At 41.5% G+C, this 24,076-nt stretch overlaps 2 protein-coding genes and 2 pseudogenes across 11 annotated transcripts in view, besides 8 other annotated features; 3 read left to right on the top strand and 1 right to left on the bottom strand.

Moving 5' to 3' along the window:
- Positions 596–1,100: an enhancer, noted in NCBI's record as "NANOG-H3K27ac-H3K4me1 hESC enhancer chr20:34252655-34253159 (GRCh37/hg19 assembly coordinates)". NCBI's record gives its function as "activates a minimal SCP1, AML or CMV promoter by ChIP-STARR-seq in naive H9 embryonic stem cells {active_cell/tissue: H9 hESC(naive)}" and the evidence as "EXISTENCE:reporter gene assay evidence [ECO:0000049][PMID:30033119]".
- Positions 933–16,908, top strand: RBM12 (RNA binding motif protein 12). 4 transcript variants are annotated; one of them, NM_001198838.2, is made up of 3 exons: positions 933–1,031; positions 6,819–6,903; positions 10,489–16,908. In NM_001198838.2, the coding sequence occupies exon 3, from the start codon at positions 10,511–10,513 to the stop codon at positions 13,307–13,309; it is 2,799 nt and encodes a 932-aa protein (NP_001185767.1). In that variant the 5' UTR covers positions 933–1,031; positions 6,819–6,903; positions 10,489–10,510; the 3' UTR covers positions 13,310–16,908. The 4 variants fall into 4 exon arrangements, with proteins under 4 accessions (NP_001185767.1, NP_690051.1, NP_006038.2 ...); NM_152838.4 differs by having other exon boundaries at positions 933–1,073; positions 6,851–6,903; NM_006047.6 differs by having other exon boundaries at positions 933–1,073.
- Positions 933–24,076, top strand: part of CPNE1 (copine 1) — a 38,857-nt gene continuing 15,713 nt past the window's right edge. For 2 of the 7 annotated variants that reach the window (NM_001198863.2, NM_152926.3), the window contains exon 1: positions 933–1,031. Coding sequence is in view for 1 of the 7 variants with exons in the window: in NM_003915.6 (NP_003906.2) it covers positions 12,291–12,305 (15 nt within the window). In the remaining 6 variants the exon portion in view is untranslated. Of the gene's footprint in view, positions 1,074–6,818; positions 6,904–10,488; positions 10,632–11,923; positions 12,306–24,076 lie in introns of those variants that run through there. The other 5 variants (NR_037188.2, NM_152928.3, NM_152927.3 and 2 more) reach the window with 5 other exon arrangements.
- Positions 965–1,014: an enhancer, noted in NCBI's record as "active region_17793". NCBI's record gives its function as "activates an Ori minimal core promoter by ATAC-STARR-seq in GM12878 lymphoblastoid cells {active_cell/tissue: GM12878}" and the evidence as "EXISTENCE:reporter gene assay evidence [ECO:0000049][PMID:35858748]".
- Positions 1,072–1,366: a silencer, noted in NCBI's record as "tiled region #3991; HepG2 Repressive non-DNase unmatched - State 1:Tss, and K562 Repressive DNase matched - State 1:Tss". NCBI's record gives its function as "represses a minimal TATA promoter and a strong SV40 promoter by Sharpr-MPRA in HepG2 and K562 cells {active_cell/tissue: HepG2 | K562}" and the evidence as "EXISTENCE:reporter gene assay evidence [ECO:0000049][PMID:27701403]".
- Positions 1,072–1,394: a biological region, named in NCBI's record as "Sharpr-MPRA regulatory region 3991".
- Positions 1,285–1,394: an enhancer, noted in NCBI's record as "active region_17792". NCBI's record gives its function as "activates an Ori minimal core promoter by ATAC-STARR-seq in GM12878 lymphoblastoid cells {active_cell/tissue: GM12878}" and the evidence as "EXISTENCE:reporter gene assay evidence [ECO:0000049][PMID:35858748]".
- Positions 1,605–2,110: an enhancer, noted in NCBI's record as "NANOG-H3K27ac-H3K4me1 hESC enhancer chr20:34251645-34252150 (GRCh37/hg19 assembly coordinates)". NCBI's record gives its function as "activates a minimal SCP1, AML or CMV promoter by ChIP-STARR-seq in naive H9 embryonic stem cells {active_cell/tissue: H9 hESC(naive)}" and the evidence as "EXISTENCE:reporter gene assay evidence [ECO:0000049][PMID:30033119]".
- Positions 1,715–1,764: an enhancer, noted in NCBI's record as "active region_17791". NCBI's record gives its function as "activates an Ori minimal core promoter by ATAC-STARR-seq in GM12878 lymphoblastoid cells {active_cell/tissue: GM12878}" and the evidence as "EXISTENCE:reporter gene assay evidence [ECO:0000049][PMID:35858748]".
- Positions 2,105–2,224: an enhancer, noted in NCBI's record as "active region_17790". NCBI's record gives its function as "activates an Ori minimal core promoter by ATAC-STARR-seq in GM12878 lymphoblastoid cells {active_cell/tissue: GM12878}" and the evidence as "EXISTENCE:reporter gene assay evidence [ECO:0000049][PMID:35858748]".
- Positions 18,403–18,505, top strand: RNU6-759P (RNA, U6 small nuclear 759, pseudogene; annotated as a pseudogene).
- RN7SKP271 (RN7SK pseudogene 271) lies at positions 22,464–22,690 on the bottom strand (annotated as a pseudogene).

The raw sequence follows: 24,076 nt of genomic DNA, 5'->3' as shown, positions 1-24,076 counted from the left end.
GGGTTCAAGCGATTCTCCTGCCTCAGCCTCCCAAGTAGCTGGGACCACAAGCACCGCCACCACACCCAGCTAGTTTTTGTATTTTTAGTAGAGGCTGGGTTTTGCCTTGTTGGCCAGACCGGTCTCGAACTCCTGACCTCATGATCCGCCCTTCTCGGACTCCCAAAGTGCTGGGATTATAGGCGTGAGCCACCGCGCTCGGCCTGTATAAACTTTTTTTTTTTTTTTTTTTTTTTTTGAGATGGAGTCTTGCTCTTTCGCCCAGGCCGGAGTGCAGTGGCGCAATCTCGGCTCACTGCAAGCTCCGCCTCCCAGGTTCACGCTATTCTCCTGCCTCAGCCTCCCGAGTAGCTGGGACTACAGGTGCCCGCCACCACGCCCGGCTAATTTTTTGTATTTTTTAGAAGAGACGGGGTTTCACCGTGTTAGCCAGGATGGTCTCGATCTCCCGACCTCGTGATCCGCCCGCCTCGGCCTCCCAAAGTGCTGGGATTACAGGCGTGAGCCACCGCGCCCGGCCCCCGGCCTGTATAAACTCTTAAATGGGAAAAAAGAATCAGGTTTTGGCTGTTTTGTCAGGATATAATAACTAGCCACCACGTTGTGGTCCATTTAATCCTCAAAAAACTTAGAGGTAAGCACAATTCGCTCCTTCCGCGGAAACTGGAAGACGTGAAGCAATTTGCACAGTCTTGCAGTGAAGGGCCAAGCTAGACACTCATACCCAGCCCACCCGCCAGGGCCACTAGCCCAAGGTCGGTCCTGTGCGCCAACAGTCGCAAGCAGGGACTGAATATCCCCCTCTTAGCACAAAACCCAGTAACTTCCGGGAGATCGCCCGAGACCGTCAGCGCGCTTGCGCGGCCCCTTGACGTCAACCACGCCGTTCCTCCCCCTTCTGGAACGCGGAGCCGCTGAGCGGGCCGACGGCCATTTTGTGAAGCGGCGAAGGAGGTGGTGGCTGCGTTGGGCTCCGGGAAGCCGTTCGGGCTGGGGCTGTCGGCCGCGGGGCGGAGGCACTCGCGCGGGGGGTAATTCGGGGTCTGGGTTCTGGTGCCGCGCAGCTTTCCCCGGTAAGACTCCCGCAGCCCCTGAACGGGTGGGGCTGTGCGGGGCTCGTGGTGCCCCTTGGTGGCCCGGGGCGGGGCCTTCGGAGGCCTTCGAGCCCGCGGCAACTAGCGCCCCACACAAAGGGTCGAGGCAGGGCTGCAGGGGGAGTGGGATGCCACTTAGGCCTCTGAGATCTGAGAGGATGCAAGGAGGACGCAAGAGGATGAGCCTGCGTACCGAAGTGGGGACGAGGCCATAGCGAGGACTCCCCCGTGGTCTGAGAGGGGGCAGGCCAGAGCTGGCTGGCTCAGCGGCCTGCGAGCTAACGGGGACTGCAGTAAAAACACGCCTACATCCCGAGTACGGAGGATTTCTTGTCTCCCCCAGTGAAGCAGAGGTTATAACTACATCTCTGTGCCTGGAGGTGGGGAGATAATCGTAGTGAGGACACTCCTTCAACCCGAAATGGAAAGGAGGCCTTTGTGGCCTACCAGCAAAAGGGGACCCAGGTCACACCTGTGGGGAGGAAGCTGTAGTCGGTACACTCCTGTGAGTTCAGAAAGGAAGTGTCACAACCGGCCGCCTTCGTGGCCTGAAGGTGGAGGGGTTTGCAGTGAAATGCCTCCGAGGTCCATTGCTGGGGAGGGGCTTTACTCGAGGGTGTAGCAGTTTTGAGAAGCCGGCGTCTGAAGCTAGGAGGTGAGGGGGTGGGGTGAGTACGCCTCCTGAGGCTCTGAGAATTGTAGTAAGATGCCAGGCCTTTGGTCCCCCAGTAGGGAAGGGGCTGCTGTGAGCAGCACATTTACGGCTCCCTCGGGAGAGGATCCTGTGGCATTTCAGGAGGACGAGATCCAGTGGGCTGCGGAGGGTGGGTGCTTTTGATGGAGAGTTAATTGAGTTTCTCTGAAGCTTGGCTGCATTAGTTTGCAGCCACGTGAATTGGGTGGTGGGAGGGACTTTGAGGATCTACAGGTTAGTGACGGGGTTGGACGCCAGTGCAGCAGGCTTAGCTGCTAGGTTGTAAACGTACGGGCTTTTTGTGTGCCTCCAACGTGTGCTTTATAGTGACAAATCTGAGGGGCTCTTGTGAGGGTTACTCAGTATTAAGTGCTAAACATTTACTCATCTGCGTGGTGTCATGCTGAGAATTGCAGACTTTAAGAGATTTCTGGGCCCTAAAACCCTCCTTGGCTCCAGGATTCTCAGAGATAACCTAATATAAATTGAAGAAGTTGGTAGGGACCGTTTTATATTATTCAATAATAGAGTCAGTATAACCCACTGGAAAAAAGTGTGATGGCAACTGAAGGTTTGTTGAAGGGAGAGGCTAGGCTTGTGACTGCAGTATTTTAGAGCTTCTTGCTTGAATGGTTTGAAATGGTGTAATTTTTGCAAAATGCAGTCTTAGCAACAAGAATTGTCTGGGACCTTGTTAACTAGTGTATATTGTTAATGCATCTCAGAGCATTTGCAGTCGAGAAAAATCCCTCAAGTCTGGACACATAGGGAAATCTTGTTTTTTAAATTATAGAACTACAATACAAGACTGGTTGTACTTGTTTTTGAAATTTGGCAGTTTTGATAAGAATGGAGGATTTCTGGATTTAGTGGAAAGTGTGCAGACATTTTCAAAGAGTATAAAAAGTTGGGAAGAACTGTTACAGGTGGTTCAAATAACGTTATGGTAATTTATGAAGAAAGTGAAATGTTTGGCGTGTTTATACAAAACAATGAAGATGTGCTTAGTATATATTATTGGACAGATTTTTAATGAAACAGGGAATACATTTTTATATATGCTCGATTAAATGTGATTACTTTGCTTATGGATTGTAATGTATAATTTTCATTTTCTTTATGTTCAAATCTGTTAGATGAAAAATGTGAAGCTTTAGAAATAATTGTGTGGTTACTTGCAACGTATTGTTACATGCTAATACCAGTACTCTTTGGGCTTCTTTCACCTTCTTTGACACGTCAAATGTTTTGATGATTGAGTATTGAGAGTTTGGGAGTTGTTAGTACAGTCTTTAGGTGTGAAACTTGATGTTGTGGGCCAGTGTGTTCCAGGTGCTGGAATCCAGTGACAGTGTTGATAGTTTTTACTCCATTTTGCAGAGAGCCATTCTGTCATTGTATGAATGTATGTTTTCTTCTGTAGATGTTGTAGGAAGAACCAAGTGTCAGTAGTTGGTTGCACAAAAGATGCTTTTAGATGTCCCTCCCTAAAATGCAGAGACTGATGATGTCCACTTTTATATCTTTTGTCTGGCCCACAAGTGCTTAATAGTAAATGTTCATGGAGTAAAGGAATATTGTTAAATGTTTTCAACTAAACAGAAAAGATAATTTTATCTAAACTACAGTTTTATCAGATTTTACTACCACACCCATATACCTTTTGGTTTGCACAAAATTTAATTAAGTTTAAAGCCAGCTTTTAAGACTCAAAAACAGAGTGAATGTGGTTGTTTAGGTTAGAAGTATAATTTTGCTCTGAAGTGAAAATGAAGGTAGCAACATTTTTGTTGGCATTTGGGGGGATTGAAACATAACTTAATATTTTTGACAGGAGGAATATCTTATTTAGAAATGTCTTCTGATTTGCTGCCTTTGAGTACGGAATGGAGGTTAATGGAAAAATTGAGTAATGCGTTATAAAAAGTACACATCTCCATCAGTGTCAGAATAATTTTTTCATTAAGAGTGATCCCAGACTTTGATATATGGTCCATTTGGGAATGGGGAACAAAATCAAGTGGCTGAAACTGTGGTTGTTTCATAATGTTTATTATAATGTGATTATACTGTTTTTAGCATTGTGCCCGTTGTGATTGGTTCTCTGTTGCTAATCTCTGAGGTGAACATTTGAGAGTTTGTTTCTTTTGGATCTGAAGAACCTAGCTCTGCTGTACCCTGGTTCTTGTTGATTAAAGAGTGATAACTGAACAAAGTTAAAGTTCACTTTTGGATGTTTACTACCAGATGAAGAGTGAAAATAGTCGTTTTAGTTTGTGCCTTGACTTCTTGATGAAGAGATTTGTTGTCAGACATTTTTTTCTGAAATTCCAAGTGATTAGAATGGCTAGTAAATACGAAAGTCTGTCTTGCCATAATATGTTAAATTTTTGTAGCAGATACTTGTGATTTGTGCATGCATCCGGTATTTTGTCAAGTTGAAGCAAGCCTTTATGTTAGGACTAATTCCTGATAATATGAATGGAAAACATACTAAAGCCAGCTTCTTGTTTTAGATCTTCTGAAGTATATCAGTGGCTTTAATGACAAATCAGGCCCATTTTCTCCTTTCCTATCATTATGCTGTATGTATAGATAGAATATGTATTTTAGATGTTTTATTGTTTAGTTATTATTTTAGTCTTATCCTTCTAAAGTTCAGCAAAGCTTTAGGTAAATGGCGTGGATTTTTGAAATCCTGCATTCAGTCGCTAGCTGACATTTAGAATACAGGAATAGTAGTTTCCTGGAAAACAGTGACACTTATGTTAAATTCTTGTGGTTTTTACAAAGTGAGGTGTCAACACAGAAGTATTTCAGTTCTATTTCCATTTACCTTTCCCTTTTGAAGAGGTATAATACCAAGGGTTGTGAAGTTCTGACTTGTAGCATCAACTTTCTGCATGGTTTTCCTTGGTATGGGGTGGGGTGGGTATTCCTCTTTGCTGAAATAGAAGAGAATCATAAATTTCTATCTGGATTGATTTTGTGCTTTAAGTTGTACACATAAAACTTGAACTAGGCATTTGTCAAATTCAGCTGGGCCTTTCAGCCTTGCCTTGTGGAATGAGAAATATCTTCCTTTTAAAGGTAATTTCTGGTAACCTTTTAGAAATTTTTGAGAGTAGACCTGGTGAGTTCCCTTTGAGCTTAACTGGCTGACCCCAGATATGTCCTTCTCAAGATAGACATACGGTATCTTTTGAGTTTGCAAGGGAAGAGGCTGAGAGGAACCTTCTTACCTTATATTCAGGCATATGCCCTGGCCCCATACCTGACCTTTTGAATTGGAATCTCCAGTAGGGATCAGATGTTTATTACAAGTTCTAGAAACTAGAAAGTTACCCTGTTATGTGGCTGCTGGAGTCAAACCTGTACATAAATATTACAGTACTTCATGCTCTTGCTCATTGCTTTACTTGAAGCAGGTTTTTTTCTGTTTCACATTTTCCTTTGTGACCTGTTAAACTACTAGATATGGCTTTCAAATGAAGAATTTTTAAACTCCTTAGACTTAGTTAGGCTAGGCCAGGCGTGGTGGCTCACACCTGTAATCTCAGCACTTTGGGAGGCTGAGGCGGGTGGATCACTTGAGGTGAGGAGTTAAGAGACCAGCCTGGGTAACATAATGAAACCCCTGTCTCTACTAAAAATACAAAAATAAGCTGCGGGTGGTGGCGCAAGCCTGTAGTCAGTCCCAGCTACTCCAGAGGCTGAGGCATGAGAATAGCTTGAACCCAGGGAGGCGGAGGTTGCAATGAGCCTAATGAGCCTAGATCGCGCCACTGCACTCTAGCCTGGGCGACAGAGCGATACCCTGTCTCAAAAAAAGAAAAAAAAAAGAGGCTAGATTTCTACAACATGTAAAAGATTAATACAATGCTCTAGACTTTTGATTGTGTTGATTACATATTTGCATAGCTTTTTGTGGTAAAACCATCTCACTATTCTTTAGCAACTTGAGTAGTTGACTAGACGATGAATAGTTTGTCCTTTAGAAAATCACACAGATTTTTGAAATATGTTTTACTTTTTGGCGATGAATATTAAGGTCATTAGTTGTATTTTGGTCTTGGAAGATACTAATTTAAGATGAGCATCATTTGGAAAAGTAGTCGTAGGTAATCTTAATACTGAACAGTGGCAAATTTCTTCTCTCTCCGAATTAAAACATGACCTTTGAAAAAAAATAAAAAGCAAAAAATGACCTTTGAATATAGTTGTCTAGACATTTGGTCATATATGCTTGTGACTTGTTAATAACCTCACCAGTTTGGAAGAAATGACAGTGAAAGATGAGTGACCTGTTTTTATTTTGGGATATACTCTTAATATGTCAGGCATTTTTAGGGTGTTTTTAAATTTTATTTTATTTTATTTATTTAAATTTTACAAGTTTTTGAGAACTGTTGTGATGTCAGAGGAAAAAACACTTTCCCTTAATATTTTGTTAATATTTTGAGCTCCAGTGGAATTAGTCCTTATAGCAAGAACTCATACTTCATTTGTTTTGTGATGTTGGATGCTATTTTGTGCAAAATAAAATATATTGAAAGAATAATTGCAGTAATTTCCATGAGTACCCTTGAATTGCTATCTTAAGTTGTCCAAGAATTGTTATTGTGCGAACTTGTGCCTTTTCATCACAAATTTGGTGAGAACCTGGGGAAATAGACTTGTGTTACGGAGTTTTCTGGACTGGTTTAATTATAAAGTGATCAAAGCAATTAGCTGTGAAGCTGAGCTTTATGACTGTTTTAATTTTCAGTGGATTCGTTATTGGGCTAAGTTAATGACACTCTTGTAAATATATAATTATTTTGAGATACTCAAATTTGAAAGCAATACCAACTAAAAAGCATGTGTGGGATTTTGTTACGGTGTCTTTCTTTTTTTTTTTTTTTTTGATATGCATTCTAATGAAGTACTCTGGTGGTTTCAGACTCGCCTTCGTAATGTACAGTGTGGCCTGTGCGTGTTGTTTTGTGTTTCCTGCATTGATTTTTGCCTCCGTTTATTCTCTATTGCAGTCTAAAAGTTGGTTTTAATTGGTTGCCCACAGGATTGACTTGGCCTCTACTTCTTGTTAAGGAAATTCATCTCTTGTTTTATCAGGTAAGAGATTTTGAATAGAGAGTTCGTTTTTATACAAAATAAAATGAGATAGCTTATTAAGAAATATGAAAATATATGTAGCAACTATATTGTGTGTGTGTGTGTGTGTGTGTGTGTGTGTGTGTGTTTTTGTTTGCTTGTTTTTTGTTTTGAGACGGAGTCTTGCTCAGTTGCCCAGGCTAGACTCTGTTGCCCAGGCTGGAGTGCAGTGGTGCCATCTCGGCTCACTGCAACCTCCGCCTCCCGGGTTCAAGCACTTCTCTGCCTCAGCCTCCCGAATAGCTGGGATTACAGGCGCCTGCCACCATACCCGGCTAATTTTTTTGTATTTTTAGTAGAGATGGGGTTTTATCCTCTTGGCCAGGCTGGTCTTGAACTCCTGACCTTGTGATCCACCTGCCTTAGCCTCCCAAAGTGCTGGGATTACAGGCATGAGCCGCCACCCAGGCCGGTGTGGTTTTTTACAAGTTTATCTGAGGGATAGGGGTGGGGTAGATGGGTGCTTTGAACAGTTGTTCCTTTGGGGGTCAATTTCATTTATATGGATCTATTTATCTTGTGATTTTCCTGATAGGCAGTAAGTTTTATTCCTTAGTAGCATTTTAGACTAATTACAAATACAGATGCTTGTTATTGATATGTTTATTTATATTTCCTAAGAGTTTAAGTATAGATAATGGGTCACATGTTTTAGAGTACAAATTTTAGACTTTAAATGGAACCTTAGCAAGTGGAATCTAACCCTCTTGTTTAAGTAACTAAGATAGGCCCAAGTTAGGTTGAAATGACTTAGCTGTCAAACAGTTACTTAGTAACAGAAAAGCAGATACTTTTTTAAATTTTTTTTTAAATTTTTATTTGTTTTATTTATTTATTTCTTTTTGAGACAGAGTTTCGCTCTTGTTGCCCAGGCTGGAGTGCAGTGGCGTGATCTCTGCCTCCCGGGTTCAAGTGATTCTTCTGCCTCAGCCTCCCTAGTAGCTGGGATTACAGGCACCTGCCACCATGCCCAGCTAATTTTTTGTGTTTTTAGTAGAGACGGGGTTTCACCTTGTTGGCCAGGCTGGTCTTGAACTCCTGACCTCGGGTGATCCACCCACCTCATCCTCCCAAAGTGCTGGGGTTACAGGTGTGAGCCACCGCACCTGGCTGCGGATATTATTTCATATTTTTTGGAAGCTAGAAACAATTTTTCTCATCAGATGGCTTTATGAATAAATCTTGTATTCCACTTTGGTTTAATATTCAGCCCTTTCCAGCTGGTAATCTGAGGCAGATTTTCAATAGCATATTCTCATGTGTACCTTGTACAAACTTTCAGTAAATCCCTGCTCTTAACAGAAAATGGCTTGAAGACTTAACTGTGTATGTCACTTTAGCCCTGTGTTTAATTTTTGTGTTCTTGGGACTATATCAAGTTTCTGTTTGATTGTCCCAGTGCAAACTAGTCTCTCTCTCTCTCTCAAGTTGTTTTGAGTACCTGGATTGCCCATGATGTTTCCCCTATACAAAGTGATTAACCGTTTTTTGAAGTTGAACAGGAAATGCTATCACATTTTGCATACAGCCACATATTCTAGATTGAGCAAGGAATGTGAATTTGATTTAATGACTTGGAAACTGCTTGATGAACCTCCTTATAGGCTGCTAAATAGTAAATGAGAAAAGAGACTGTTGGTGTGATGTTTTTTAGCGTTAATTTTTCTTGTTGACTCTTGAAGTTTGTAAATGAAAAGCTTCCCCACACTTCCCAAATTTCTAGTGCTTTATAATGGCCTCACAAAAAGCATTTTCTGTTTGCTAGTCCATTTTTCTGGATTAAATTTGAAGGTGGCTTTTTATTTTTGTGTATGTGTCTGTGAGAAAACTGTCAAAGCCAAGCAGTTTGTTTCTTGTTTGTATACGGCAGTTGTAATATTGAGATATAATTACAGATTTTGTTGCATTAGTATTTATATAATATTTGACAATGAAGTTACAGAATTCTTAGAGCTTATAGTAGAAAATCTTGCCCCTTCTAATATTCTTGAGAAGTGATAAAACCAAATCTCTTCATTAATTTATAACCTTTCTGAGGGTCATGAGCTGATTTTATGGGCTTATATTTAAAAGTTGACTTTTCAGGTGGGGCGCAGTGGCTCACGCCTGTAATCCCAGCACTTTGGAAGACTGAGGAGGGTGGATCACCTGAGGTCAGGTGAAATCCCATCTCTCCTAAATACAAACACTTAGCCAGGCATGGTGGCGCATGCCTGTAATCCCAGCTACTTGGGAGGCTGAGGCAGGAGAATTACTTGAACCTGGGAGGTGGAGGTTGCCGTGAACCGAGATCGTGCCGTTGCACTGCAGCCTGGGCTACAAGAGTGAAACTCTGTCTCAAAATAAATAAATAAATAAAAGTTGACTTTTCAGATGGGTTGGAAAACACCCTATGTTATTGACCACCTTAATTTCAAAGTAGTATGTTTCCCAGGCCCAATAATTCGGTTTGTGTCACTTTCCAAAGGGCTGCCCTTGAATTTGCTCTTAGAAGCCTTTGGAACTGAAATACTGAAATTTGAGGGGAACATTTCTTTTTTGATTATGTCAAAACAGGCATGATCTAAGGAGATCACAGAGATCCTGTAGGAGTTGTGTAGGTCCAAGACTGTAACAACCACTGAGTAATTCACACTCTGGTTCTAAAACAAAAACAAAAAATATTTTTATTGTCAGCCCTCTCCTAGGGGAAAATAATACTTTAAAAAATTTTATTAAATAGAGGATTTGGTTATGAGTCATTGGACCTGAGTTTTAATTAAAATAGTCACAGTGAATGGGACTATAACCAGGTTCTACTTTTGGGGGTAATGAATCAAGGTAACTCAGATTTTAGCTGTCCTATTCAGTAGTTCTTTTGGCTTCTTAGTATGTCTTAACCTTGTTTATAATAAATAATTCCATATGTAGTTTTTTGTAATGTACAAGGCAGATTGAAAAGTTTTAGGATGAATAAAATAATGGAACCAGTTCTCATTTAAGACTTGAATCTACTTTTAGTCTTAAGTATTATTTACAATTCATTAGTATTCTAGTTTTTTGCTTCTGTTGGATGGATTTTGAGACTGAGCTCTATAAAATCACACTCTTGATAATTCTATGAAATTATCAAGTATATAGGGAAGATGCTAAGCCAGTTTTAAATACTAACTTCTATATATTCTTTGCATGTTTTTTCCCTATAGATTGTTAAACTTTGTTTCCTGATTTGACTTAGACATTTCTTTTAAATCTTACTGAATGATTAGTGGTCTGAATGATGTATATGTATTTTACTGTCCTACAGTTGTTTTTTCTTGAACTTTTTGAGTCTTGGGACTGAACTGTTTCCAAAATTAATGCCTTCTGGAAGTTGAAATTGTCTACGTTTTACATTGTAAATGGCACGTAATGTTCAGTTTTTAGAATATCTAAATTAAAGACATTGCCTGTGATAGCTTGAGGGAATATTTGAGGGCCTAATATGGTAGCTGGTCATTCTTGTAGCTAAAAACTTGGTGTGATAAACAGGAGTCTGACCTGGCCGTTGCCTTTTCTCATCTGCAGGTGTGTGTGGTTTCAGCGCAGCATGGCTGTGGTCATCCGTTTGCAAGGTCTCCCAATTGTGGCGGGGACCATGGACATTCGCCACTTCTTCTCTGGATTGACCATTCCTGATGGGGGCGTGCATATTGTAGGGGGTGAACTGGGTGAGGCTTTCATCGTTTTTGCCACTGATGAAGATGCAAGGCTTGGTATGATGCGCACAGGTGGTACAATTAAAGGGTCAAAAGTAACACTATTGTTGAGTAGTAAGACGGAAATGCAGAATATGATTGAACTGAGTCGTAGGCGTTTTGAAACTGCCAACTTAGATATACCACCAGCAAATGCCAGTAGATCAGGACCACCACCTAGCTCAGGAATGAGTAGCAGGGTAAACTTGCCCACAACAGTATCCAACTTTAATAATCCATCACCCAGTGTAGTTACTGCCACCACTTCTGTTCATGAAAGCAACAAAAACATACAGACATTTTCCACAGCCAGCGTAGGAACAGCTCCTCCAAATATGGGGGCTTCCTTTGGGAGCCCAACGTTTAGCTCAACTGTTCCAAGCACAGCCTCTCCAATGAACACAGTCCCGCCGCCACCAATTCCTCCAATTCCAGCGATGCCATCTCTGCCACCAATGCCATCCATTCCCCCAATTCCAGTTCCTCCTCCAGTACCTACATTGCCTCCTGTGCCTCCTGTGCCCCCGATTCCCCCAGTTCCTTCTGTGCCACCCATGACCCCACTGCCACCCATGTCGGGCATGCCGCCCTTGAATCCGCCACCTGTGGCACCTCTACCTGCTGGAATGAATGGCTCTGGAGCACCTATGAATTTGAACAATAATCTGAATCCTATGTTTCTTGGTCCGTTGAATCCTGTTAACCCTATCCAGATGAACTCTCAGAGCAGTGTGAAGCCACTCCCCATCAACCCTGATGATCTGTATGTCAGTGTGCATGGAATGCCCTTTTCTGCAATGGAAAATGATGTCAGAGATTTTTTTCATGGGCTCCGTGTTGATGCAGTGCATTTGTTGAAAGATCATGTAGGTCGAAATAATGGGAATGGATTGGTTAAGTTTCTCTCCCCTCAAGATACATTTGAAGCTTTGAAACGAAACAGAATGCTGATGATTCAACGCTATGTGGAAGTTAGCCCTGCCACAGAAAGACAGTGGGTAGCTGCTGGAGGCCATATCACTTTTAAGCAAAATATGGGACCTTCTGGACAAACTCATCCCCCTCCTCAGACACTTCCCAGGTCAAAATCGCCCAGTGGGCAGAAAAGATCAAGGTCAAGATCACCACATGAGGCTGGTTTTTGTGTTTACTTGAAAGGGCTACCATTTGAAGCAGAAAACAAACATGTCATTGATTTTTTTAAAAAGCTGGATATTGTGGAAGATAGTATTTATATAGCTTATGGACCCAATGGGAAAGCAACTGGCGAAGGCTTTGTAGAGTTCAGAAATGAGGCTGACTATAAGGCTGCTCTGTGTCGTCATAAACAGTACATGGGCAATCGCTTTATTCAAGTTCATCCAATTACTAAGAAAGGTATGCTAGAAAAGATAGATATGATTCGAAAAAGACTGCAGAACTTCAGCTATGACCAGAGGGAAATGATACTAAATCCAGAGGGGGATGTCAACTCTGCCAAAGTCTGTGCCCACATAACAAATATTCCATTCAGCATTACAAAGATGGATGTTCTTCAGTTCCTAGAAGGAATCCCAGTGGATGAAAATGCTGTACATGTTCTTGTTGATAACAATGGGCAAGGTCTAGGACAGGCATTGGTTCAGTTTAAAAATGAAGATGATGCACGTAAGTCTGAACGCTTACACCGTAAAAAACTTAATGGGAGAGAAGCTTTTGTTCATGTAGTTACCCTAGAAGATATGAGAGAGATTGAGAAAAATCCCCCTGCCCAAGGAAAAAAGGGATTAAAGATGCCTGTGCCAGGTAATCCTGCAGTTCCAGGAATGCCCAATGCGGGACTGCCCGGTGTGGGACTGCCCAGTGCAGGACTTCCCGGTGCAGGCCTGCCCAGCACAGGACTGCCTGGTTCAGCAATAACCAGTGCAGGACTGCCTGGTGCGGGAATGCCCAGTGCAGGAATACCTAGTGCAGGAGGTGAAGAGCATGCCTTCCTGACTGTAGGATCAAAGGAAGCCAATAATGGGCCTCCATTTAACTTTCCTGGTAATTTTGGTGGATCAAATGCCTTTGGGCCACCAATCCCTCCTCCAGGATTAGGAGGCGGGGCCTTTGGTGATGCTAGGCCTGGTATGCCTTCAGTTGGAAACAGTGGTTTGCCTGGTCTAGGACTGGATGTTCCGGGTTTTGGAGGTGGACCAAACAATTTAAGTGGGCCATCGGGATTTGGAGGGGGCCCTCAGAATTTTGGAAATGGCCCTGGTAGCTTAGGCGGTCCCCCGGGGTTTGGAAGTGGCCCTCCTGGTCTTGGAAGTGCCCCTGGGCATTTGGGTGGGCCACCAGCTTTTGGGCCTGGCCCCGGCCCCGGCCCCGGCCCTGGCCCAATCCATATTGGTGGTCCCCCTGGCTTTGCATCTAGTTCTGGAAAACCAGGACCGACAGTAATTAAAGTGCAAAACATGCCCTTTACTGTGTCTATTGATGAGATTTTAGATTTCTTTTATGGCTATCAAGTAATCCCAGGCTCAGTGTGTTTAAAATACAATGAAAAAGGTATGCCCACAGGTGAAGCCATGGTGGCCTTTGAGTCTCGGGATGAAGCCACAGCTGCTGTCATTGACTTAAATGACAGGCCTATAGGTTCAAGAAAAGTAAAACTTGTATTAGGGTAGCCATTCACATCATTTTTTATAGGGTAGATCTTCATATTGCTGTGATTAATGCATCCAGATTGTTTTCCTAGTATTTCCAGGTTAGAACCTGTGGATTGTTTCAATTGCATATAGCTTGGTTTCCATAACATAGAGCATTGGTTGACTGTTTACAGAAGACTCACTCACCAGGATAAACATTGCTGTATGTTACAGTAAAGCTATCTGGAGAGAACACATAAATGATTTTGGCATACCATTAGAGAAACCATTTGTAAAACTCAAATGACCACATAAAGCTTATCAAGGAGTCTAGATTGGTTTTGTTTTATACCATATGGGATGAAGAAAATAGAAATGTCAGTAGAACTCATTGAGGGTGCTCTTGCCAGCTGCTGAAAATAGAAGTTGGCTACTCTCAGAATTTGGTTTAAAGCTGGACAGATTTGCTTTGTTATAGGGTAAAGCTTTGTCTAAAGTCCTCATTTTCTTTTAAAATTGAATAAAATTTCTGTATACAGATTCATTGTATGTACCTTTATTGCTTCTTAAGGGTCCTTGCTGTATAGACAGTCCTGCTTCAGAAGTTGCTGCTTTGTTTGTCTAATTGACTCATTTGTAAATGAGCAGAACTGTTTTGTTGGTTTTTTTCCCTAAATATAAAAGTCCACACTTCGTTTGTGCTATAACCTCAAACTTTGATTTCTAATGTCACACTTAAAACTGTGTGGAATAAGACTTTTGCCATAAAAATAAACTATGGAGTCCTTTATCTACCAGAGCCTTTTTGGTTTGACCGCCACGATTTAGGTTAGTCAGTTTAAAAATTGTTCATGTTGTTTGGATGGTATCGAAAACCAGAAACCACTTTTAATAATGTGTTTAAGATACTTGATTTGAAGTCCTTTTCATATGGACTAATTGTAGTATCAATTTCCTCCTGTCCCGATTATGTGAAATTTTGGCCTTTAAACAAAGAGGGGCCCATTCATAAGAAAGTGTTATATCTAGGTTTTTAAAACTGAAGTTGAAATTATCTTTGTTAGCAGTAGTAGTATAGAATAAAAGATCCGTATGCTGGTTCGTAGATTGATACGTGTTAGTCCTGTTATTTGGAGGCTTTTTGGCATAGTTGTTCGATCAGGAGCCTGTTTACTAAAAGTCTTCATACAGAGTACAAGTGCAGCCGCCAGAGGAGAAAATTGAGATTCTTGACCCTTTCATACTCTTTTCTTTGGTATTCAGGACACTAAGGCAGGAGGACCACATGAGTTCTGGTTGGTAAGTGTCCTTGTCATGAAAACACTTGCCTTACAAGGCTCTAATTATGATTTCCCTAGTCAGTGCTCTGAAGATGTGTCACATTATATTATAAACAATACGGAAGGGGAGATAGGTGAGATGATATGAAAAACAAATTTTCTCACTGTCATAAAAGGCTCTAATTATGGTTACTTTCCTTGTGATGAAAAACTTGGCCTTACAGGGCTCTAGTTATGGTTACTTTCCCTAGTCAATGCTCTGAAAATGTGTCACATTATAAACAATACAGAAGGAGAGATAGATGAGAGATCATGAAAACCAAATTTTATCTTTTACATGGCCCCTTTGTCTTCGTTTGAAACATCCCCAACATTTCCTACAAATCAGCGTAGTTACAAAGGGGTCAGTCTTTTAAAATAAGTATTTCCTATTAAACTATATATATATACAGTGCCTTTTTGGTGTTGTGAGTCAGTGGAACACTGAAATACAGCGGTTGTGTAATTTAAGAGTGGCAACAGTTTCATTTGATAAGATTTGAAAAGGCTTTTTATCACTACAATCTTAGAGGATTGACAGTACAGGATTTTTGTTTAAGAGAAGGATTGTTTAGACTCAAGAGGTGACTATGTTGTGGGTCTTTTGATAATTCATGAATACAGATTTGCTTTGACCGATCACTAGATACTGCCTCCTCAATTTCAAAAGCAATATAACGTTTGTATATGCTGTTTAATTTAAGTTAATGTTAAGTAATCATTTCTCATTCCAAAGACAATGCAAAAAACTTCAGCACTGCTTGAGAGTTGTATTTCAGCCACAGATATTTTCTCCATTGGAAAGCTATTTTCATTTTAGAAAAATGGGTTGTTTGAAGATGAAAGTCTTTTATCTTTTTTCACAATTTATTTTGGTTATATGTTCGTACATTCTTATTAAATATTTCATACACTTTATTGCAACTACTTTGTTATTTCTACATCTTAGATAAATGCTGAAAAGGAAAACGATTTCATTGTTCATCTAATTAAATAAATTAAAAGAGCGGTTTGTGTAGAAATTGGAGAGAACTATGTTTTATATGAATCACAACAGTGCTCGTTGTGGACTGTAATTAAATGCTTTGCCCTCTGGAACTTGATTTTTGTGTATCTGAGATTTATTAACAGTGCTAACTGCTAAGGATACTGTTTATCTTGTTCTGGGCATTGGAGTTTCAGTTTTTAAAAAATTCTTGAAAATGTATTCTGTGAAACTACTCATACCTCTCTTCCTGCGAATTTTCTCCTAAGAACTAGGTTTGGGGTAGAAATGAATTGACATTATTTTCTCATTTGCTTTGTATGGTATGAAGGATTTGTAAAGCTTTGCTCAAAGTTGTGTGCATTTGTAAACACTATCATGATATTTTCAATTTTATGTGTAAATTTTATTGTCTGTTTTTGGTGACTCTGACATTAATGGAAGAGAATATTTTCCATTAGATTTAATTTTTTTTCCTCTCCCTTCTGATTTTTTTTTTATTGGTGTTCATTTTTCTTTTGATTTAAAGGATTAGAGAAATCTACAAATGTATGTCATAAATAAGCAAATTTGTAAACTTTTCTGAACTTTAGTGAAACATTTAGTTCACAAGCATAATTTGGAGGTGTGTTCTGTGTTTACACAGTAGTTTGGATGTACAATTATTATTAGTGGCTTTTTAAAAAATGAAACAGTGTTAAGTGAAATGTAGTTCCTAGCTTTGTACTCCAAGTTGTCAAAGCATCAACAATGAAAATTCGATTAGGAAACTTTATTTAAAATTTCAGGTAGTAATATTCAGTGTAGTTAAGGCCAGTCTTAACCCACTGGATGAAAATCTAGGACTGTATGGAAGTAAGCAAACATTACATTTTTAGGTGGAAATAGTCAGCCTTGCATAAAAACAAGGATGCGTGAAAGCCTTAAATTCCAGCTCCCTTTTACTGGAGTCTGTGGTTGTGTACAGGTATGGGCCAAGTGTAAAATCTCATCAATTTTAAGAACACTCGGGAAATGAGTAAAGAAAATGTAAAATTGCTGCTAGTCAAATCTTTTGGAAAGAATTTCTGGAAGTGGTCACTTTAAAAATTATTTTCCACCCTTGCAAAATTGCCACATTTAAATTGTTTTACTGGCAGTTCTATAGTAGTCCAGACTTTAGAAACCAAACACAACAAAATGGCTTGTTGCCAATATGGCCACAACATTGCCAGCAAATACTGCCTTGGCATCACTCAGCAGAGGTTTTTGTTTATAAAGATGAAGTCTTGAATACTGTTCAATAAACTTGTCAAAAAATAAAACAGGCTGATGCTTTTAATGCTTTAACTGCACAAAAGTACTTTACTGAGCTATAATATTATCTTGTCAGGGTTTTTGTTTTGTTTTGTTTTTAAACCTGAAAATATTTTGTGCCTTTGGAGAGGTAGATTTGGTAATCTTGGAGAGGTAAAAATTGTTGCTTATCCTTGCCTGCTAATGCTGAAGTGTCAAGAGAAGAGGATACTTGGAACAGCAGGGAGGAAACTTGATTCAAGTCCATAGTATCCACCTTTTCAGAATTTTATGTGTATGATGTGTTGGCAAACAAAGCCCTTAAATGTTGAAAACTTTTTATCTTGAAAGAGTTTAGCTTGTATTAGAATTTGGATACCCAGTGTGTTTTAGAGGGGGCTAGACATATAATTCCAGGTAGTAGCTGAGCCATTATTAAATAATCGGGATTTGACTAAGCAATGGACAAATCACTGAGTGAAATCAGCTGCCTACAGATATCCAAAATGGCTTTTACCATCTGAAAGGGGTGGACTGTGTGATAATATGTCTCCTTTTCTTGTTCAGGAGAGATCAGTTATGTAATTCATTGTTACCTGCTTTCCAGTGTTTTACAGCAAGAAATAGTTTATCAACTATGTGCATCATCACTAATCTCCCAAAAGTAGAGCTTTTACAGGGTATGGTAGAATCAAACTTATGGCTTTCCTTTTTTATTAAAAATGGCTTTATTTCAGTCTTATCTTTTTAGTATAGAATCTGATCATTTTGACTTGTGAAATGTTCTGGAAAGAGTGTACTCTGGTAGTAGCACAATTCTCTGATGTTACAGTGACTTTTCTGGGAAAACCCCTGTCTATTCAACAACATAAGCAAGTTCATCTCCTGCTCAGGTAAATGGTAATTTTTTTTTTTTTTTGAGATGGAGTCTGTATCTGTTGCCCAGGCTGGAGTGCAGTGGTGCGATCTCGGCTCACTGCAACCTCCACCTCCTGGGTTCAAGCGATTCTCCTGCCTCAGCCTCTCAGTAGCTGAGACTATAGGTGCGTGCCGCCAAGCCCAGCTAATTTTTTTTTTTTTTTTTTTCATTTTTAGTAGAGACGGGGTTTTGCCATGTTGGCCAGCATAGTCCCCACCTCCTGATCTCATGATCCGCCCACCTCGGCCTCCCAAAGTGCTGGGATTACAGGCGTGAGCCACCGTGCCCAGCTGGTAAATGGTAATTCTTTACCATGCTGTTCTTGGGTTTATTCTTGGTGCTTTGGCTGCTTTGTGTTAGAGTCTCAAAAGCATCCTAGAGTATGACTCCTTTTCTGGATCAACGTTAACTAGCAGTGAGTAGCCACGGTGGCTTGCTACTCTACATACTGCTCTATCACTGGAGTCCAGAAGGAGGAAAAAGCCACCTGACATAAACATTTCAGACCCAGGGACAGAAGGACAGCACTCTGAAAGTCTAAGGGCAGGAAAGAGTGCTGGGAAAAATCACAACCAAATCCCTTGAATTCTGTCAATAGCCCCACGGACCTCCTTCCAGTGAAAATGTTTAAGATGTGCTTGCTTCAGCAGCACATATTAAAAACGAATTAAACAGAGAAGATTAGCATGGCCCCTCTACAAGGATGACACGCAATTTGTGAAGCGCTCTTTTTTTTTTTTTTTTTTTTTTGAGACAAAGTCTCACGCTTGTCCCCCAGGCTGGAGTGCGATGGCGTGATCTCAGCTCACTGCAACCTCCGCCTCCCGGGTTCAAGCGATTCTCCTGCCTCAGCCTCCCGAGTAGCTGGGATTATGGGCATCTGCCACCATGCCCAGCTAATTTTTTTTGTATTTTTAGTAGAGATGGGGTTTCACCATGTTGGCCAGGCTGGTCTCGAACTCCTGACCTCAGGTGATCCACCCACCTCAGCCTCCCAAAGTGCTGGGATTACAGGCATGAGCCACCATGCCCGGCCCTATTTTTTTTTAATTAAAATGTTAAAGGTTAGGGCATAGAGACTCAGCAAACGTCATATAGAGAAGTGGTAAATGGCACAGCTGAGCATTGGAATTGGCTCCCCAGTTGTTCCAGACATCTGGATATTGATCTTAGTAACTTACTAGTTTCAAGTCATTTTGCTTAATTAATGGCTTGCCATTTCATGATAGGAGATGACTATTTCGTTGTGGGGCAATGCCCAGCAAGAGAACATAATTCAGTATGAACAGTCAAAGGTGTTGAGTGTATTTAACTCATTTTAGGAATGAGCTGTACTGTATTCAAATGGGCTACTTGATGGTTCATTACCTCCATTCTGCTGCTGTTCATTTCCTCCCTTTGCTTGCTTATATAGTAAACCTGCTCGTAACCAGGACTTAAAACTCTTAGACTGAAGCCCCTTCACTGCTGTCTCTAGCCTCAGCCTCCTAATGGGTGGGAGTAGTTCATTCATAGCTTTTGATTGGTGGATAAGACTTGTCAGGCTGGGTGTGGTGGGTCACACCTGTAATCCCAGCACTTTGGGAGGCCGAGGTGGGAGGATCGCTTGAGCCCAGGAATTGAGACTAGCGTGAGTAACATAGCAAGACCCTGTCTCAAAAAAAAAAAAAAAAAGCCTTGTCACTTAGAGTTTGTGCTTCATATCAAATGATAACAACCACATTGTGCTACACCACAAGTCACACAGTGGGAAGGATTTAAGAGGGTTAAATAGTTTTTTTGTTTCTTTTTTTTTTTTTTTTTTTTTTTTTTGAGATGGTCTTGCTCTGCTGCCCAGGCTGGAGTGCAGTGGTACAGTCAGCTCACTGTAACCTCGATGTCCTGGGCTCAAGCAATCCTGCTTCAGCCTCCTAAGTAGCTATTTTTTTTTTTTTTTAATTTTTTTGTAGAGATGAGGTAATTGCTGGGGTAGGGGTGATGGTGGAGTGGAGGGGTAGTTTCACTATGTGGCTCAGGCCGGTCTTGAACTCCGGGGCTCAAGTGATGCTCCCGCCTTGGCCTCTCAAAGTGCTGGGATTACAGGTGTGAGCCACTATGCCTGGCCTCAGTTTCTTAAAAGGTTTTAAATCACACCAACTGGTACCAGTGCCTCTGATTGCCTTGATTTTTCTGTGATCCCACTTGGAAGTTTGTTAATGCCACACTCCACTATACTCCACACATTAGATTGCAGTGGGGGCTGGAGAGTGGCCCAGCCTTTATACATAACTCCCTTCTGTGGTTTGGCCTGTGGGACCAGTAGGGTCCCTGTGCTGTAACTCTGACTGAAGTGATGGACATTAATGCAACTACTAATTACTGATGTAGATGAGCTGCTTTACTTCTATGACCATTGAATTGACAGATTGGAATTGGAAGCACCTGTCACCTTCAAGCTTTTAAGACAACTTCACATGAATGTACAGCTTAGCCATAGCTGTATCTCATACTAACAGATTTTTGCAGTGGTGTGCACCCAGCACTTATACTTTGGTGGAAAAGCAAAATAAGGTTCCTGTTCTTCAACAGTTGAGGGTTTTAAGTCACAACTAAGTGCTTGGTTGTGCTTATACTAGGTACATTCCTATACCACGGGAACCAGGTAGTGGCTTTCCTGGCCATTTGCTAAGTTATGGTTAGACAGGAACAAGTGTAAACTAGTCTTTGTCATAGTGTAGTTTCCTGTTGTTGAAATATTCCTTTGCTTTCTCGGCTTCCCTAACATGTAAATTCTGAAGACCCATCTTAAACTCTCCCCAGTGTCCCAAATGAATTTATTCCAGTGAAGGGTAAGGGGCTTGCATTATGAACAATAGGTAGGTTTCTTTTCCAAGAGCTCTGGTCTGCTTTTGTTCATTTACTCATCTCATTTTGTGCTGTAGGAGATATACACTCCTTTTGTGCACACTGTAGATGCACAGGTATTTGGTGATGCCTCAGTCCTGGAGATCATCAGGAAGGCGGTATAGTACTGTTGTCTCAGACACCCCACAGGTGATAGACATTAAAAGAATGTAGATTTCAGCCGGGAGGGATGGGGGCAGAATTGACTACCCTATAGATGTCCTTTGAAAATTTTGATACAGATCACATTTTTTAGAGGTGAGTTCTACCTTATTTGCACTATGCATGCTTGCTACTTAAAATTTATTCCTTTGATCAACTCCTGTAAATGTGGAGTCCAGGATTTCCTACCTTCCTTCCCCAGCAGTCAGACAAATAGGGAGAATTATATTCCATGTTTGTGCAAGGCTAACATTAGCATAGATCATGAGGGGAGACCATGTGAGTCTCACTGCTGTTGTAGTGGCAGGGTAGATTTCAGATTGGGGTGAATTACAAAATGTGAACTGTTGCTAAAATGGTTGGATATAGAAATAACATTCTCAGAATCGGTTCGTGGTTCCATCAGTTATGTGACTTAGGACAGATTATTTCCCTCTGGCCTCAGTGTTTCTTTTACAGTATGGGATTAAATTAGATAAGCTTGTGTCCAGTTTTAAGCTTCTGTGATTGTATGAACCTAGCCATTCGGTTTCTGGAAATCTGTACTGAGTTTGGACCTTAAACTAAAGTGACCAGGAATGGAGCTCCAAATTTTGATCTGGGTACTGCTCTCCTGGTTTCCCTAGTGTGGTAGTGATTCTACACTGCAGCTTGAGAAATTCAAAGGGGAAGAGTCTTCATCTCTCCTTTTGGGGGCTGTCCCTGTCCTGCTAGTTATATCCTGGAGCAGGTAGACCAGAGGCATTCCTCCTGGATCCACTCCTCCTTGGTCCAATTAACCAAGAAGGAGTTAATGATACTGCAGAAGGACCCAAAGGTGCACTTCCCTGTTTGTGAGCACCTACAGGGACAGTTGACACTGGGTACTTACTCTGTGCCGGGCAGGGGATACTTTCTATGACTGTCCTCATGTAATCCTCACAAATAACACTGTAAAGTTAACATTATCATCCCTACTTTACAGGTGGGGTAATCCAGGCAGAGAAAAATAATTAATAGTAAGGGGAAAACAAAGATGTTTTAATCATGGATGCTTGTATGACTCCTCAGGTAGAAACCCTCCCTCAACTATCCCCAGCCCCTCCCTGACTTTTAGGGAAAGTGGGAGGCCACTGGCAGCAGTCTTCTGTCATGGATTCTGAGCTGCTGGGGAAGGAGCCTTTTCAGTTTGCCAACTCCAACTATAGTGTGGAGGGCCCTTACCTATTGGTAGGGCTTCTTGGCCTCCACGGTCAAGCTTATGATTGCAGAGGGGGACCTGAACTTACTTTGTTGTTTTTTTGTTTTCGCAACAGAGTCTCACTCTGTTGCTTAGGCTGCAGTGCAGTGGCGTGATCTCAGCTCCGCCTCCTGGGTTCAAGCAATTCTCCTGCCTCAGCCTGCCAAGTAGCTGGGATTACAGGTGTGCACCACCACACCTGGCTAATTTTTGTATTTTTAGTAGAGACAGGGTTTCACCATGTTGGCCAGGCTGGTCTCGAACTCCTGACCTCAGGTGATCCAGCCTCCCAAAGTGCTGGGATTACAGGTGTGAGCCACTGCACCCTGCCTGAACTTATTTTGAAGTACTCACGTGAAGACTTTGTGTTGGTGTGTTCAGAGTCTCTGGGCAGAGAAAAACACCCACTCCGCTACAGTCCTATCCTGCTTTTGAGAGCCTGTTTGCAGGTTCTAGCAGGGGAGCACTCGTATATCCTTGACCAAAGACCAGTCCTCCTCTCTCAGGGATGGTCGTCTTCAATCGAGCATGCAGCTTCGGGACAGATGCATGTGGAGCGGTGAGGGAGGAAGGGGACACCCACCTAGTCAGCCAGATCAGCCAAATCAACCCTGGTGATCAATGGGGTGACAGATGTCACAGCCAGATGGCCCTATCCTGCTTTTGAAGACCATGTAGTCCTCCTCAGTTTGCTTCTTTCCTTCTCCATATCCAGTTTTGTCGTCAAGTTAGGTTCTTTTTGAAGAGTTAGTTGTACAGTGGTCAGATTTGTTCAACTTTTGGATAAGCCTTTGGGGATGTTGGGGTTAGATTAGTGGCTTTGGTTTTTTGTTTTTGACCTTCACCCAGTACAGTAAAGTGGAAAACCTTGTGGCCATCTTCTTTTTCATATTTTCCCACCTTTTAGTTTTTGTGTGCACATGTTAAGCTTTGTAGTGTTGCCAAATACTTTGTGTCAGCCTGACTCCTTAGTAGTATATGGATCTAAACCAAATTTATTGAAAATTTCAGTTTATGAGTACCATTCAGTAGCCCTTAGTCATATGTATGAATAAGGAATGTGTAGTTTTATAGAAAGGATTTTCATTTTTGGTTCAGTTTGTGACCTGTGAGGAATATCCTTAGAGCTGCTGATGTAAATTTGGAGAATCCTCGAGTTAGAAAAGTAGGGATAAGAAAACTTGTCTACCTTCTCCATGTCCTTTGATGGGGCCAAAAAGGAAAAAGAAGAGTGGTGGTGGTTGGTGTAGTTTGTCTTTTCAGTCTTACGGGAAACAATGTTCCATGGGTGGTCCTTTGTAAGCCTATGGAGGATTTTCTGATTGGCTTTCAAGACTTGATCCTGCATCTGTGAGCTGATCCAGCATGCCAAGGTAGGCAATAGGAGTGTGAGCATGACATTGGTTTATTAAAGGAGTGGCCCTGCCACCCAGACCTTCAGCCCTCTATGCCACCTTCTTGCAGCCTCTGTACAACTTCTGGTCATTACCTGGGGTGGATAAGGAATTGGGAATTGCAGGCTGGTGCCTTTCTGGGTTAGGACTTTGGAAGTGGAAGAGGGAAGTGTTAAGGACTGACAAATGAATTTCAGCTCATTTGGCACTGAATTAGATCCCACTGGACCCAGGAGAAATCTGTTCTTGGTTATGAATAGGAAAATTAGAACCTCCCAAGGCAAGGGAAGGGTGGCCATAGAAAATGAAGGGCAAGTTACTCCCTTGTAGCAGAGAATGGGATTCCCTATCGACAGTAGTATGCTGGTAAACTGGCTGGCAGGGTGAAGGAAGCCATGACTTTTTGCAGTTGCCCAATTTCTACAGTTTTAAACTTACCAAGGCCACCTGCTTCAACGATTTCCTGATATGTAACAGTTGGCTCTTGCAAGCCATACAAGCTTGCGCCAGCACACTGCTGCAGACTTGCCTCAAGTATTTGAATTCCCATTATGTGCTCAGGTATATGCTGTGTGGCAGGAGATGCTGAAACAGTGTTTATTCTGAAGAGCTTTGTCATTTAATTGACAGGCAAGAAGCTGGAGAAACAT

This window comes from Homo sapiens, chromosome 20 (genome assembly GCF_000001405.40).
Source record: "Homo sapiens chromosome 20, GRCh38.p14 Primary Assembly".
NCBI classification, from domain to species: Eukaryota; Metazoa; Chordata; class Mammalia; order Primates; family Hominidae; genus Homo; species Homo sapiens.
This window is presented reverse-complemented; position numbering and strand designations above follow the sequence as displayed.

What these genes read in the sequence shown, in the direction of transcription:
- RBM12 (NM_001198838.2), top strand. Translation starts at nt 10,511, where the DNA reads ATGGCTGTGGTCATCCGTTTGCAAGGTCTCCCAATTGTGGCGGGGACC.